The sequence below is a fragment of the Homo sapiens genome, chromosome 2 (assembly GCF_000001405.40).
Source record: "Homo sapiens chromosome 2, GRCh38.p14 Primary Assembly".
Lineage (NCBI taxonomy): Eukaryota > Metazoa > Chordata > Mammalia > Primates > Hominidae > Homo > Homo sapiens.
In genome coordinates, this window is record NC_000002.12 from 216,281,879 (window position 1) to 216,297,609 (window position 15,731).

Genomic DNA, 15,731 nt, shown 5'->3' on the forward strand with positions numbered 1-15,731 from the left:
CTTGGGAGATTAGAATAACCTTTTCATTTTTTACCCCCAGGAAAAAGTTATCCCTAAATGCATTTTCACTTTATGAGCCAAGGGTGGAGCCAAGGAAGGGTACTTTGGGGTGGGCTCATGAGTTTGGAATCTGATCCTTTCTTGAGGCTTGAGCTGGCTGAAAAGGAAGGGGAGGGTTAATGCATTCAGACCCCTGCTGGAACCCAGAGGACGTGGAGTCAGCTGTCTCGTGACACTGCTATTTTAAGACACTTTGAGATTTTGAAATGAATTGAAGATGGAACCAGCAGCAGGGAAAGGCACCTCTTTATGGCCCCTTGGTATACTACTAAGAGGGCTAAGGTGCCTGGGGCTTTTAGTGCCACCTTCCAGAAATGCCCTGCAACCCCAGCACACTTGTGTGTGTGCAACACACACACACATACACACACACTCATTCCTGGGATTGCCCCATGTAAAACTCTATGGGGTGTAAAATAAAACACCCTGGACACCATAGCTGTGGGTGCTTCCAGCTGCTCCTCCATGCAAAGACCCCACCGCCACCATCCCTCCCAACCCCCATTACCCCTCCTGGGCTTTCAGGACTCCCCCCTCCACCACCACCCCAGAGAGGAGGAGTGAGACTGTGCCAGGAGCTGAAGTCCCCATCCTCACTCTCGTGCTCACTAATTGATTATGTGGCAGCTTAATTTGTTGATCATGGATATGTGGAGGTATTTTCAGAAGCAAAATGCTCTTTGTATGTGTGTGCTCCTCAAAGGAGAGCTGCTTGATTTGGGGCATTTGTGAGGGTGGCACAGGCCTGCCAGCTCCCCTGGGGACAATGGATGTGTCAGGGCAGGGATAGAGTGGTGGGAGCAGGCAGAGGATCCCTAAGTTCTGTCTGAATCTGTGTGGCAGGCCCTCATTCCACCCTGGCCCTGCCTGCCTTTCCACAGTAGCTTTTTAATATTCTCTCCCCTTCTTCTATTTCTTATTGCTCTTATTCCCATTTTTCTCTGCCTCCCTCTCCTGTTTCTTCTGTTTTTCCCTCTGTCCCTTGCCATTGGAAGTGTGGTCTCTGAACCAGAAGCATCAACAGATGCTCCAGACCTACCGAATACAACATCCCTGCTCCAGACCTATAGAATAGCCTGCATTTTGAGAAGACTGCAGATCAATTACATGCACATTGATGTATGAGAAGGGCCATTGAGTCTATTCTTCTTATTTCTTCTTTACCAGCCCATAGCTTGATCTCAGTCCTTCTCCTCACCCCTCCCACCTTCTGTCTTTTTGTTTCCTGTTCTCTTCTGCCCTCTGGCCTTTCTCTCTTTTTCTTCTTCTTCCCTGCCTCCTTCGTTTCTTCCTTTCCTTTCCTTCTTTCTTCCTCTCCTTTCTGCATTCATTTATTCATCCTTTCACTTACTTATTCTCCCTTTTCCCTCTGATTCTCCACACTTCTTTCCTTCTGTATCTATTTCCCTCTCTTTGCCCCATCTCTTCCTCTTCTTCTTGCTGAAGCTTAAGAGAAAACACAAATGTCCTTTCATCCCCTCCTGCCCCACGCCGCCCACCGTGCTTGCCCACCCAGCCCATCTTCTTCCTTTTCCTCAAACTGCCCTGAATCTAAGGTGAAGTAAGCCTCCTGCTAAAGCAGGTGGTGTGGAAGCCCCAGGCCCAGCAACCCCACCAGGCAGCCCTGGGTTGTACCTGCAGAGGATTTTTTGTGCTTATGGCGATGACGTGGTACTTGTAGTAGCACAGCTCGCAGCTCCAGCAGCCCCGCTCGCTGATCCACTTGATGAGGCAAGGCTGGTGTGTGCACTTGACCGAGCCATCACAGCGGCATGGGCTCAGCAGCTCCCCCTGCAGGGAGAGAGCACAGGGTGATGAGGCTGAGACCTACAGTGGCTGGTGGGTGAGTGATGGGCGGGAGGGTGGCAGCTGCAGCCTGGTTTGAGCCACCCAAGTAGGCCACAGGCTTTGTTTGGGGGCACCAGACTCCATGGAGGAGGCCTGGGCTCCTGCACCCCCACCATGAGAGCCAAACCATGTTGGTCAGCACAACAAACGGCTCTGAGCCCCTGCTACTGCTTGATACAGCACAGTACTATTAATTACTAAGGTTCTACGAACATGAGCGGGCTGGTTTCTGCGGAAGCCTCTGCTGTTCACAGTGGGGTGTCAGGCTGCAGAAGTGTCTCCGTAAAGGCTCAGCCAAGAGTTGCAAACTCAAATGCCCTCAAGGACAGACAGGCAACAGAGATAACAAAAGCTAGCTAGTGGAGACTGAATTGGAAGGATCAGACCCAAGCTAAAGGGAAAGCCACCATCAGCTCTAGCCAGTGTAGATGTGGGGATCTAGGAGGTTGGACAAATGCCCTCACTGAAGGCCTGGGTCCCTCCAGTCACCCTTGGGTCTGGCTGGGGGTAGCTAGGAAGCCCAGTTTGGAGGAGTTGGAATCAGAGAGGCAGAGGACTCAACTGAGCAAGATGGTGTGAGGATTTGAAACTTCCTTTGAGTGGACGGCAGCATTGGGCTCACTCTCCAGAACTTCCCATGACCATATGTCAGATGGCCATGGCTGAAACCTGTGTTTTTTGTTTGTTTGTTGTTTTTGGAACAGGATCTCACTCTGCTGCCCAGTCTGGAGTGCAGTGGCACGATTGCGGCTAACTGCAACCTTGATCTTCTGAGCTCAAGTGATCCTCTGGCCTCGGCCTCCCAAGTAGCTGAAACTACAGGCATGCACCACCATGCCCGACTAATTTTTTATTTTTTTTGTGAGATGGGGTCTCTTCATGTTGCCCAGGCTGGTCTTGAAATTACGGATTTCCATCTGCCTCTGTAATCATGCACTTGGCTGCAGACTATAGAATCAGCTCTTCCTTCTAAGATTCCTGGAATCATATTTCTTTTCCATTTCAACTCCTATCATTCAAGGATCTCATTGTGGCCTGGCTGAGGTTTGGAATGTCCTTTAACACCTGGTCTACCTGTCAGCTGTTACTGTCTTCAAGATGATTCGAATGCCGCCTCCTACTGGGAGTGGTCCCTGACTTCTCCAGGTTGAGCACAGTGCTTTGAGCTCTGAGTGCCTTATGCTGAGTGACTTGGGCTCATCCCTGTTAGCACACTTGGCACATCATTATGAGGATCTATGCATATCCCTGTCTACCCACGAGAGGAGCCCCAGAAGGCAGGGTGAGGTATTCATCTTTGCACCCCTTTCCTCCAGTGCCAAGCCCTAAATAAGTTTTCATGTTTGAATAAGTACATGAAAAAATAAATCAAGTGTCTTCTCAGGTTGCCTGCACTGCCTTGAGGAACAGGAATGAGAATGCCCACTCCGTGAGAATGGGAACCACATCCATTTTGTTAACTCTGGGAACAAACATCTTGCTCAGTGCCTGGCACTCTGTATTTGCGCAATAAATGAACTTGGCAGAAATGCTCAGGTGCTCATCCCCATGAAACCCTCCTTGGTTCCCCACTCTGCTCCTCCAATAACAACAGGCCCTCTTTGCTGTGGCTCCAGGCCCTTCCCATACCCTCTGTTATAGCATGCCCCCATTTGCTCCTCACAGGGACAATATCTTATCCATCTTTGCAGCCCTAACATCTAGTAAAGGGCCTGGTAAAGTTTGATACTCAATCCAATTTTGAGAGCTGAATGCACGCATATCTGTTTTATGAACGAGAAGTTTTGCTTCTCTAGGACATGGCCAGCCTTTGACTACAGGTAGGCAGCCACCTCCTGGAGAGGAGAAGAAGAGGCTGGAGATGCCCACGTTGCTGGGTATTTGGCACACCCATCACGGCCTAAGGGCCCTTGTACTGAGGAGCTGCTATATGACTCTGAAAAGGAAACAGGAGGGGATGAGTGGAGAGACATGCTGGGGGAGGGGTGGAATTCCTCATTATTCGTGGCAGCATTTCCTAGGCTCATTAATTCTAACAGGATGAGCTGGGTTTGATTAATCGGATTGTTAAGCAGCCACGTCAAATTGCCCATCAGGTAAGAGACATTACTTCTGGTCCCTGGCAACGGTGCTGAATGACAGTGAAGTCTCCACGCCTTGCTTCCCAAGCAGCAGCCAAGAGACAAGGCAGGAAGAGCTGCTGCCTGGGGCACAGCTGATAACAAGACCCGGGCTCTGGTTGTGGGACCATTGGGGCTCATGGGAGCCCCCTGAGCCTCAGCATGCTAATCTGGGTGGAGAAAGGAGGAGCGTGACCTGGCCTAATCCCAGTGCCTGGCTAAGGGACAAGAGGCCAGGACTATGCTGCTTCCCCTCCAGCGAACCATTCATTTTCCTTTAGGGAGAAGAAAACCCCAAAAGACAGCATAGGGACTTGCTTCTGGCATTACAAATATTAGAAAGCAAGGATGGTCCAGGTGCAGTGGCTCACGCCTGTAATGCCACACTTTGGGAGGCCGAGGCAGGTGAATCACTTGAGGTCAGGGGTTCAAGACCAGCCTGGCCAACATGGCGAAACCCCATCTCTACAAAAAATATAAAAATTAGCTGGCCATGGTGGCATGCTCCTAAAACGCCAGCTACTCGGGAGGCTGAGGCAGGAGAATTACTTGAACCAAGGAGGCAGAGGCAGAGGTTGCAGTGCCAGCCTGGGCGACAGAGTGCAACTCCATCTAAAAAAAAAAAAAAGAAGAAGAAGAAAATAAAGCAAGGACAACAAACTGTTAGAAAAGTTTAACTTTGATAAAGGAAAAAGGAAGTGATGATTGGGTATTTGCTGTGGGGGTTGGGTGGAATCCAGAGAAACGAGCTATTTTAACTCTTGCATTCAGGCAAATTTTGTAGGTTATGATTTAGTGTATTTCTATATACATTTCGGGGAAAGCCCATCATCTTTTTAGTGTTTAGGGCTTCTAAAAAGCTTTCACAGGGACTCTTTGCCAACTACTGGTCAGACCTGTATGTCTCCAAGAACAACAGAAGTGGAAATGAGCCAGATGGATTCAAGCTAAACTTAGGAAGACGCTCTTTGCAGTAAGCTCTGTTAAAAGCTACATGGACACTGAGATGAATTCTCGCCCCCTCTACCCTAGTAAAATTCTCTCAATATAAGAGATATCTCTGATTGAGGAGAAAGGTTAAATGACTCACTCAAGGTCACACGGGCGTCAGACGCTGAGCTTCACCACCCGCTGTGCTCATCCACCTTCCATCCTCTGGATCCTGCTGCCCCACCTGCACCTGTGCCTGTAAGTCTCCCCTTCTCCAGGTCCCACCCCAATTCCTGGCCCAGCTCAGACCCTCAGCCAAGTCTCCCACCATCATCCACAGTTTGGTACTTCACCATTTTCAAATGCTCTGGGATTAGAGCTGCTCCTACATACCCCCTAGAACTGAGCACATCAGCGATGTACAATTAAGGCGTGCTTACTAATTGAACAGGCCCTAGGGTATGGGAAAGGAAAAGCCCCTCTGGTCCAGCTACTGCGGCTCCAGCATTTGGGCTGGGAGGATTACTGTGATCTTGTTTGCAGAGCTCAGCAAACTCCACAGATCAAAGGGACTCATTAAATGCAAAGGGCACCAGACACTTCCTCAATGATCTGCTCAGAGTGCTGGGGCCAGAGACTGCCCTGGGAATGACTAAAACAAGAAAAATGGGATCTTCTCTAATCATCTGGCCCCCAAGGGACACACTGTGGGGGAGTGGTGAAGAACATGGTTTCATTGTTCAATTCCCAATGAGAACACGTGGACACAGGAAGGGGAACATCACACACCCGGGACTGTTGTGGGGTGGGGGGAGGGGGGAGGGATAGCATTAGGAGATATACCTAATGCTAAACGACGAGTTAATGGGTGCAGTACACCAACATGGCACACGTATACATATGTAACAAACCTGCAGGTTGTGCACATGTACCCTAAAACTTAAAGTATAATAATAATAAAATTAAAAAAAAAAAAGAACATGGTTTTGGGAAACAGCCGCTTTGTTTTTGAGTGTCTGTTCACCAGCTGTGCAAATTTAGCCAAGTCTCTTAACCTCTCTGAGGCTCCATTTCTTCATCTTTCCGTTGCAAGTAACTCTTACCTCCTCAAGGGTAATTGTAAGGATTTTTTTTTTCCTTTGAGACACGATTTCACTCTGTTGCCCAGGCTGGGGTGCAGAGTAGCATGATCATGGCTCACTGCAGCCTTGAGCTCCCCAGGCTCAAGTGATCCTCCCACCTCAGCCTCTTGAGTAGCTGGGACTACAGGCACATGCCACCATGCCCAGCAACATGTATTGTACTTTTTGTAGAGGTGAGATTTCACCACGTAGCCCAGGCTGATCTCAAACTCCTAGGCTTAAATGATCCTCCGGCCTCAGCCTCCCAAAGTGTAGGGATTACAGGCGTGAGCCATTGTGCCTGGCCTGTAAGGGTTAAATGAGATCATATATGCAAGAGTTTGACACAGTGCATGGCACAAGTAAGTCCTCCTGTTAAACTATTACAATTCTAACTCACATTTCTGTAAGAACTTTAATTTCATAGTTTTTTCTTCTGCAACTCTATTTCCTACTGTCACTCTAAGACAGGTGAAATAGATAAGGAAGGGAACGACCGCCTAAAGAAAAGAGTCAGTTGAGTCACCAAGAGCAGTAAAGATTAAAGAATTTTCTAAGAGACTCTGCCCTCCTGGGATGGATAAGGGACCCTGACTTCTAGCCCAAGATTGTTCCTTATGTCACCTTGGGGACACTGGGAGCATCTGGGGAAGCTTCTTTTCAGGGGATGCCAAACAGAAGAAGAGTGCAGGCCTCTTGCATGGGTTAAGTGGGGTCGTGCTAGAGGCAGGAGGCAGGAGGCAGGAGGTGACCCTTTTAGCCTTGGTTGTGATGGAGGTGGTGGGAGGGAGAACAGATGTATTCCGCTCACTGCAGTGGGAGACAATAATATGCCTCCCCAAAATACGAAGGCGTGTTGAGCTAAGACAATTAAGAAGCAGCAGATTTAGGAGAGCTCTCTGCTCTTTCTCTATTTGCATAAAAGCAGGACATAGATTTACAAAGACAAAAGTTATCCTGCCTCTCCCTCTCCATCAGGAGAACAAAGGTAAACACTGAAGACAGCTTTAGACCCTCATCAGCCTCCAGATGACACCAGAGGAATTTATATATATCTATATATGAAAATATATAAAAATTTATATATATATAAACATATATATATATATATTTATTTTTATTTATTTATTTTTTTTGGAGACAGAGTCTCGCTCTGTCACCCAGGCTGGAGTGCAGTGGCACGATCTCAGCTCACTGCAAGGCTTACTGCAATAGAGGAATTTATATTAACGAGCTTTACTCACTGAAGTTCTTTTGCCCTTTGTTTTCTTCCCCACCCGCCCCCCACCCAAGTTGCTGCCCATAGAGACTCAAAGTCCTTTTCCTTTGTCTTGCCACTTCTCTAAAAATATATTGTTTTTGTTGAAGATGCTGTATTAGCCAGAGTTCTAAGCCAGTGAATTGCCTTTCATTGAAGTTTCTCCCACATGATACACACTGCATACCCTAATAAACTTGCTCGTTTTTCTCTTGTTTATCTGTCTTTTGTTACAAGGGTCTGTCCCAACTAGAAACTTGTGATGGTTGAGGAGAAATTGTTTCCCTCCCAACACTGCCAATAACACAGCAAGCTGCAGACGCCAGTCTCCAGTTGTTTCTCCATTTATAGATTTCTTTCTGTTTATTTTGAGCTTGTTTCATTTTTCACATCTTTCAGTCTGAAGGTCTTGCTTCTGGAGTCCCTAGCTTACCTGGTTGCCATGGTAGTGACAGGTAAACCAAAGACTTCCTTTTCTGCCCACACAGGTGTCAGGCATCCCTGCCACTAAGTAGAAAGAAATAAATACAGTCTAGTGTAGCAAAGGCAGTCGTGTACCATGCTGTAGTTTGGAAATCAGAGAGAATAGAAAAAGGAGACAATAGGAACACCAGCCTTGGGGTGCAGTTTAGGGGCATAATCCTTTAATAAGACTAATATGGTGGTGAAAAGCTTGGGCTCTAATCTCAGGAAGACTTGGGTATATCCAAGCTGTTACAATCTGTGTGACCCTGGGCAAGTTGCTTAACGTCTCTGGGCCTTGCTCAATTATCATTTATTCATTAAATATTTATCTACTATGTTCCAGGTTTTGTTTTAGGTGATAAGGATACTGCAGTGAATGGAACTGACTAAAATTCTCTAGTCAAGACAGACAATAAATATGATTAAAAAGTAAACCATATATACCTAAGAGACTGTTATGTGCTATGGAGAAAAATAAGCAGGGAAAAGGGAAATGGAATAGAAAGGAGGGGGTGAGTTGAAATCCTACATAGGGTGACTGTGTATGAAGGCTTCACTCAATGGAGGTATTTGAGTGAAGAGCTGAGGAAAGTAAGGGAGCAAGCCATACAGTTATTTGGGGGCTGAGCATTCCAGACAGAGGGAATATCAAGTGCAAAGGCCCTGAGGCAGAAACATGCCTGGTATGTTCTAGGGGAACCAAAAAGGCTGGTGTCTCTGGGGTAGAGTAGTTTAGAGGAAGAGGAGCCGAAAATGAAGTTAGAGATATAACAGGGATCAAGAGTCAGGGGACAGATCAGGCCAGGCTTGTGAATCATTTTAAGGACTTGGCATTTGTGAGTGAGATGGGCAATCATGAGTGTTTTGAGCAGAGGAGAGTGGCATGATCTGATCATATTTGACAGGATCACTGGCTGCTCTATTGTAAACAGACTGGAGGGAAATAAGGGCTGGTGTTGTGTTCATCCAGGTGAGTCACGATGGTGTTTTGGACCACTATTGTAGCAGAGGAAGTCCTGAGAAATGGTCAGTTTCAGGATACATTTTGAGGATGTAGATGTTAAGATTTGCTGATGGATTGGATGTGGTAAGGAGAGAAGTAGAAAAGTCAAGAATGATGCTAATTTTTACCTGCACAATGAGAAGGATGGGGAGTTACCTTTAATTGAGATGAGAAAGACTGAAGGAGTTGCAGGTTTGGAGGAAAGATTGGGAGCTCAGTTTCAAAGTGTCAACTTTGAGATGCCTGTTAGATATCCAGGAGGCGATGTCACGTAAGTACTGAGATACATGTTAATCTGGAGTTTAGGGGAAGGTCCAGGCTCAAGATATAAATTTGAGAGTCATTTGGTGTACAGATGGTGTTAAAAGCTGAGTCTGAATGAGACAACCAAAGCAGTGAGTATAGGTAGGAAAAGGAAGGGGTGCCAGAGGTGATCGCTAGAGGATGCCAATGTTTAGAGGTCAGGAGATGTAGAAGAACCAGCAGAAGAGACTGAGAAGGGAAGCTCAATGAGATGGCAAGAGGACATTTTTCCAAAAGCCAAGAAGACGACACTGTTTCAAGAAAACAGGGAGTAATGGACCTTGTCAAGTGCTGCTGATGGGAACCAAGCATTAACCGTGGACCTGGCAAGTTTTCTTTCTGGTTTCTTCTATTTTCTTAGTGCAATATGAAGAAAAGGCATACGCTGAGAGTGAAGATTGGCGGGGGAGGTCCTGGATGTCTGAGGACTGGTATAAAATAGTCATCCAGGAGAGTTCTAGGGCAATTAGACTAGAGAAATAAAGTATGCTTATGGGCAGCATGAAGTGTCCTTTCTATTAAAATAAAATGGCTCATCTGTGAAACTGAGGGAGGAGGGTAGTAAGAGACTCTGTTTAGCTCCATGCCTGGCACACAGTAAGCTCTCAGTAAATGCTGGCTAATAGGTAAGAGTTTATAGCAGATCTCCTCACTTCTAAGCCTACCTTCTCACCCACTTCAAATGTTGATCAATTTTCTGGCTTCCTTTCTTTCTCCTCTCTGTAACATTTTCTTATTAATAATTCTATTGTTATAAATATTTCACAGTTCTACATACAAACACTTTCACAGACATTATACCAACTACTACCTCAAAAGCTAAGTGAAGCTAATAACAATTTCCTTCACTTTATAGATGAAGATAGAGAGGTTGTTACTTGCTCAAGAAAATGGAAAAGGAGGGCTCTGGAACCCGTCTGTCCACCAAATTTACCCACATCCTCTCTGCCCATTGCAGTGACTCTTGCCTTCTGTCTCTTCTCCCACCCACAGCAGCCTGTCCATCAGACCCTTACCTTCCTTGTCCCTATGTAAGAGATGCCCTTGCTGGCTCCCCTGTTATCATATTAACACCAAGACAGAAACCATATTGTGTTTTCCTCTGAGTCCCTTTCCTCTAAACCAGTTCCTGGTTGGTAGTATTTACTGGGGATTATTTGATGTGTGTTTATGTTAGGGGGTGGGACAACATGGGGTTTTACTTCCCCTTCACACTTTATTTACAACCCCACCCTTGGTGAGGGGGAGATATCTGTTAAGAGAAAGTTAAGGGACAGAGGTTTTTGGAAGCATAGCAACCCATTAAAATTTGCTCTGAGATGGAGTCCACATTAGCAGGAAATGTCCAGTTGCCTTGTAGTTGTTCCACTGTGAAGACTCAGAGAATCTAGAGAATCTAAAGCCTTAAAATCAGAATTTCCCCTCCAGGGTGGAGGTGGAGCCCATGTGTATTAGTGTGGGGAGGAATGGGTATAGGAGCAGAAAAATTCACTGGATTTGTGGAGAAGAATAAGGAGAGATGACAGAGAAAGTAGGAATTCTCCAGTGTCCGTATTAGATCATCTCTATGATGATAGACTTGAGACAGAAAGTACTGTTTTGTAACACTTCTTGGACTCTACATTTGAGGAACCAGCTAACAATAAGGCTTGTCAGTAACACACACACAACCAACTTTATTGGCACAACCAAACTGTGTGTGATATTGACCAACTATTTGTGTCTGTGATCCGGGTTGGTGGAAAGGGTTCGGCGGGGGAGGAGACAAAAGAGGATCACCAATGGGGCCAGCGAATAGAAATAAGCTAGGAGAAACCAGAAGATTCCAGTGTCTTCTTCCTTCAGGACACCAGGCAGTAATTTCTTCACTCTACAGACCTGTGGGAGGTCAATGTATCCTGGTATCAGGATCAAGAAAAATGACCTATCATGAAGACCTTCTTTCCAACAAAGATTGTGGAGGAGAGATGAATGGAGAAGGGTTTGACTCCTGCTGCCCTAGAGAATGATTAAGTGAGTTAAGTGAGTTTCCCCCTTATCTGTGGGAGACAGGCCGATTGGCAAGATGACCTTCAAAGATCCTCTATGGCCCTAGAATCCATTGCTGTTCACAGACCAGCCAATCTGAATTCTCCTCATGTGGTGTCTGATAGCGTGTGAGCAGCTCTTTGTTTTCTGGCTGGAGTCCGTCCCAGCCAATCCTTTAGCTGCACCACCCGTCCATGGCATTTCACATGCTCCCTTCCCAGCCAGCTCATGCTGGGCTTCTCGCTTCCCTCCTGATGGCACCAAGGCCAAGTCTTGGCTTCAGGAGACTAACAGTGTGTTGACACTGGCAAGAGGAAATAAGGCATTGTTGCAAGATAATTTGATTAAAAAAAGAAAGAACTCTATTACTAGGGAAAAAAGATTTAAGGCCTTAATGAGCTGTAGTTATCTACACTAAATCCAATTAACCACATAATTATTTCTAGTTCTACTCTCCTACCAGCAGCTTACTTTCACACAAACACACATACACACGTTTAATCTGCTTCCGTCTTCATGGAATATTTTCCAGCCTTTCTGCTCATCATTTCAATGTAAAAAAAAAAAAAAAAACAATGTAAAAAGAGACAAGGAAAACAAACAGATCCAAGCCAAACCCTCCAAACTATGTTTTTCATTTTCACAATAATTATTTTGTTCCTACAGTGCTTTTCTCCCTATAATTTTACTGGTATAAGACAAATGTACCTATTTCCTCTAACTGCCTCTAAATTTACTCAACCAGTACTAGAAAGAAGAACTTAGCCTCACAATAATTGAATTTAAATAACATCCAATTCTATGAAGTCAAACATGATCTGCATAATAAACAAACCAAGCTATATGGGGTCTGGCGGAAAAAAAGGTCACGTTTAATGTGTACATTTATAATCATATCTGTATTTCTAATGACCTAAATGTGTAATATACTGTCCGTTTGTCTTTCTGCATAACTCATCATTACCATCACCATTGTTACCAAACAGCTACAGTTAAAGACTGACCTGCTCTCAGTTCTCCCCCTGGCTAAATAGAAAAGCATAATTTAGATAAATCTTGCATGACCAGAATTGCGCTATTTGCATATGTTGGGCTGGGCCTGTTTTCAAGGTCCAGGCCACTACCCTGAAATTTCAGGGATGCCAGGTCACCATGTTCTCTTTCTTTCCCAGAAATCAAGCCAAGGCAAAGGCACAGGCCCCCTGGCAAGTTAAGTGGCAAATACTCTTGCCTCTTACGAGCAGCCTTCCGTACACAGGCAGAGGGATCCCAGCCTCAGCTGTGCAAAACCCTCATGGTGTTCTTTGTAGGAGCTATGGTGAAATTCTTCAAAAATTAATTTTCAGTCACTGTAATTAATATTCAGTGTATTCAGGGGAAACAGCAGATGTTGCAAGTGCAAATGAGCTGTGATGACAAGTTACACTTCACTAATGTTCCGGATCATGGCCCCAGGCACTTAGAAACACTTCTGTGTATCACTGACTCTTACAAAGCAAGAAAAGCAAGATCTTTCCTAAGAATCAATTCCAGCTCTGCCACCCTCTCAGGCTGGCAGCCATGGGCTTAAGCAATCTAAGCCTTGATTTCTTGGTTCTCAGAGTTTGGCATGTGTAAGAATCACCTGGGAGGCTTGTTACGCATTCAGAAGCTCAGGCTTCACTCCAGAGATTCTGATTCCATGAAGACCCTCTCTTCTTCTCTTGAAGTAAGGTTGGCTGAGACTCATTTTGTGAAGCGCTGGACCAGATACTCTTCAGCAAACCTTGTCTCCTACATTAAGACTCTTATGTATACAAAGATAAAAATAAATACTAATAGCTGAAACTTACTGAGCACTTATCAGGTGCCCAACCCTGTATGCAAGCATTGACTGCTGGGTTCAAATCCCAGTTCTTCCACTTGCTTGGTGAGGGATGTTGTGCAAGGTACTTACCTACTCCAAACCCCATCCACACCATCTGCAGCTATACCGCTTTGCCAGTGCTTCTGCTATTGTTGCAGCCTCTCTTGGTAGCTCACGCCTTTGAACATGTACTAGAGGCTAGGTATTGTCCTGAGCACCTGATATGCATGGGGTGATACAGCATGGTTAGCGGGGCCTGCAGACCGAGGCTGGCTGGGTTGAATCCTTGCTGACCTGTAGTGAGTTTTCTCAGGGGTAAAGTAGGATCAAAGATACTTCCTGCCTCCCAGGTGCTCATGAGGATTCAATGGGATAACACAAGGTGAGGGTTTTTGTTTTTTGTTTTGTTTTGTTTTTTGAGACAGGGTCTTGCCCTGTCACCCAGGCTGGAGTGTAGTGGCGTGATCTCAACTTACTTCAGCCCTCAACTTTCTGGGCTTAAGCTATCCTCCCGCCTCAGCCTCCTGAGTTGCTGGGATTACAGGCCTGCACCACCGTGCCCTAATTCTGTTTATTTTTTGTAGAGATGGGGTCTCGCCATGTTGCCATGTTGGGATTACAGGCGTGAGCCACTGCACCCGGCTGTGAGATGTTCTTAGGACCCTGTCTGAAACCTAGGGAGTGTTTATTGTGGTGTCATTGTTGGCTTTCATGTACCCACCTATCCATACTTCATCCCTTCACATGCTAACAAAAAGAGGTAGGGAGAGGACACTGCTTTCTTTGCTTGTGGACAAGGGGTGCCTTCTGTGTATGGCCTTCCCAGGCACCTCACTTTACTGCCTTGTAAATGAAGTTCATCAGTCTGAAATCTGAGAGTGTGTATTTGCCTGGGAGCCTAGATCATGTGTGTGGGTAATAACTATGCTGAAAGCCAGTTGTCTCCAGGTGTGGCTAACAGCCCTGTTGTGTCAAGGGGAGGAAAGAACAAAACAGATACCCCATGACTGGGTGCGGTGGCTCACGCCTGTAATTCCAGCACTGTGGGAGGCCGAGGCAGGTGGATCACGTGGTCAGGAGTTCGAGACCAGCCTGGCCAACATGGCGAAACCCTGTTTCTACTAAAAATAGAAAAATTAGCCGGGCATGGTGGCAAATGCCTGTAATCCCAGCTACTAGGGGGGTTGAGGCAGGAGGATCGATTGAACCTGGGAGGTGGAGGTTGCAGTGAGCCAAGATCGTGCCACTGCACTCCAGCCTGGGCAACAGAGCAAGACTCCATCTCAATAAATAAACAAACAAACAAAAATAAATAAAAATAAAAGTACAAAAAAAATTACTCGAGCCTGGTGGCATGTGCCTGTAGTCCCAGCTACTTGGGAGGCTGAGGCAGGAGAATCGCTTGCACCCGGGAGGCAGAGGTTGCAGTGGGCTGAGATCGTGCCACTGCACTCCAGTCTGGGCGACAGAGCGAGACTCCATCTCAAACAAAACAAAACAAAAAAATCAGATACCCCAGCCCTTTCTGCACCTGCCGGCCTCCATGTCTCTTCCTAAGGACTCACCCCTCCCCAAGCCTTCTTCCTGCACATGTGTGTGTTTCTACCTCCTGTGACCAGAGGAAACAAACAGCATCTCCTCTCCTTACTTCCTGGCTTTCAGGTAGGGCTGTGAGCTTGTGTGTTTCTAGGAGCAACTGGGGGTTTTGTTTTGTCTGCAGAAAGTGAAAGCAGGGTCCAGAGGGTAAAATGATCTGCATTTTAAGAGCTTAGCAAGGAAAGGGGAATGGGAGAAAGAAAAAGAAACCTCTGCCCTATCATTTTCTCTGCCCACTTTATAAAGACATTGCAGTAAACATTTAAATTGTTTTTCAATTCTTTCTCTATGTGGGACTTGTATTTCTTCTTCATTATCAGCTTCATCATTATACTCAATTTAAACTGAAAAACCTGCCACCCAGAGAGGGCACTGGCCTTTCTGAGGGTGGCGTAATGGGGCAGCACTGAACTAGGAAAAAATTGAAGACCAAACCCTACTCTGGGCTCAGAGCACCAAAGGGTGGGTCCTGCGCCCCTGGGAGATTGATGCCTCGTCGTTCTCACCAGGTGATAGCCGTGCCAGAGTCTGCTGGAAACCTGGCCCAGTTCTTTTCACACCTCTCAAGGAAACGTACTATTCCTGAAATCTTGGCTCCAGTTCCCTGTCAGGAATAAGCATGCTAAGTAGAATCTGAATTACTATGGCGTGTGAATAGACTTCGGTCTGTTGACTCCAAGCTTCTGCTAAGCTGCTCCAAGTGGCTGTAGCTTCTGTCATCTTGGCAATTTTATTTTCTGTTTCAAAGAATTCTACATTCCTTACTTCTAGAGCTGGGAAGGGCCTGGTCATCAAAGGTCCTCCTCTCCTCCCCCAGCATCTGGTCAGACTGCCTACCCCCAGTCCTGGCAGATGGAAGGGAGCTCTGGGGTCTTCCTTGCTCACCAGTGCCTTCCAGTTTTCCCATTCCGATCCATATGTGAAAACCAACATGAGACAGGGCCAAAGCTCATAGAACAGCCCACACCTCTGCACTCAGGGATCAGGGGGATATTTATGGACCAGCACTGTTTCCGTCCAAAGGAGAGAGGCCATAGCCCATGGTCTTCTTCTTGGTTTTGTTTTGTTTTTTGAGATGGCATTTCCCTCTTGTTGCCCAGGCTGGAGTGCAGTGGCACAATCTCAGCTCACCGCAACGTCCGCCTCCCCTGGG

General features: G+C 46.3%; 1 protein-coding gene across 1 annotated transcript in view, besides 3 other annotated features; it reads right to left on the reverse strand.

The window, feature by feature from the left end:
• MARCHF4 (membrane associated ring-CH-type finger 4) overlaps positions 1-15,731 on the reverse strand; it is a 114,619-nt gene that overhangs the window by 24,014 nt on the left and 74,874 nt on the right. Inside the window, exon 2 of the mRNA NM_020814.3 lies at positions 1,696-1,851. Coding sequence (NP_065865.1) covers positions 1,696-1,851 — 156 coding nt within the window. The remainder of the gene's footprint in view (positions 1-1,695; positions 1,852-15,731) is intronic.
• Positions 1,349-1,869: an enhancer, noted in NCBI's record as "H3K4me1 hESC enhancer chr2:217147950-217148470 (GRCh37/hg19 assembly coordinates)". NCBI's record gives its function as "activates a minimal SCP1, AML or CMV promoter by ChIP-STARR-seq in naive H9 embryonic stem cells {active_cell/tissue: H9 hESC(naive)}" and the evidence as "EXISTENCE:reporter gene assay evidence [ECO:0000049][PMID:30033119]".
• Positions 1,738-1,787: a silencer, noted in NCBI's record as "silent region_12304". NCBI's record gives its function as "represses an Ori minimal core promoter by ATAC-STARR-seq in GM12878 lymphoblastoid cells {active_cell/tissue: GM12878}" and the evidence as "EXISTENCE:reporter gene assay evidence [ECO:0000049][PMID:35858748]".
• Positions 1,870-2,389: an enhancer, noted in NCBI's record as "H3K4me1 hESC enhancer chr2:217148471-217148990 (GRCh37/hg19 assembly coordinates)". NCBI's record gives its function as "activates a minimal SCP1, AML or CMV promoter by ChIP-STARR-seq in naive H9 embryonic stem cells {active_cell/tissue: H9 hESC(naive)}" and the evidence as "EXISTENCE:reporter gene assay evidence [ECO:0000049][PMID:30033119]".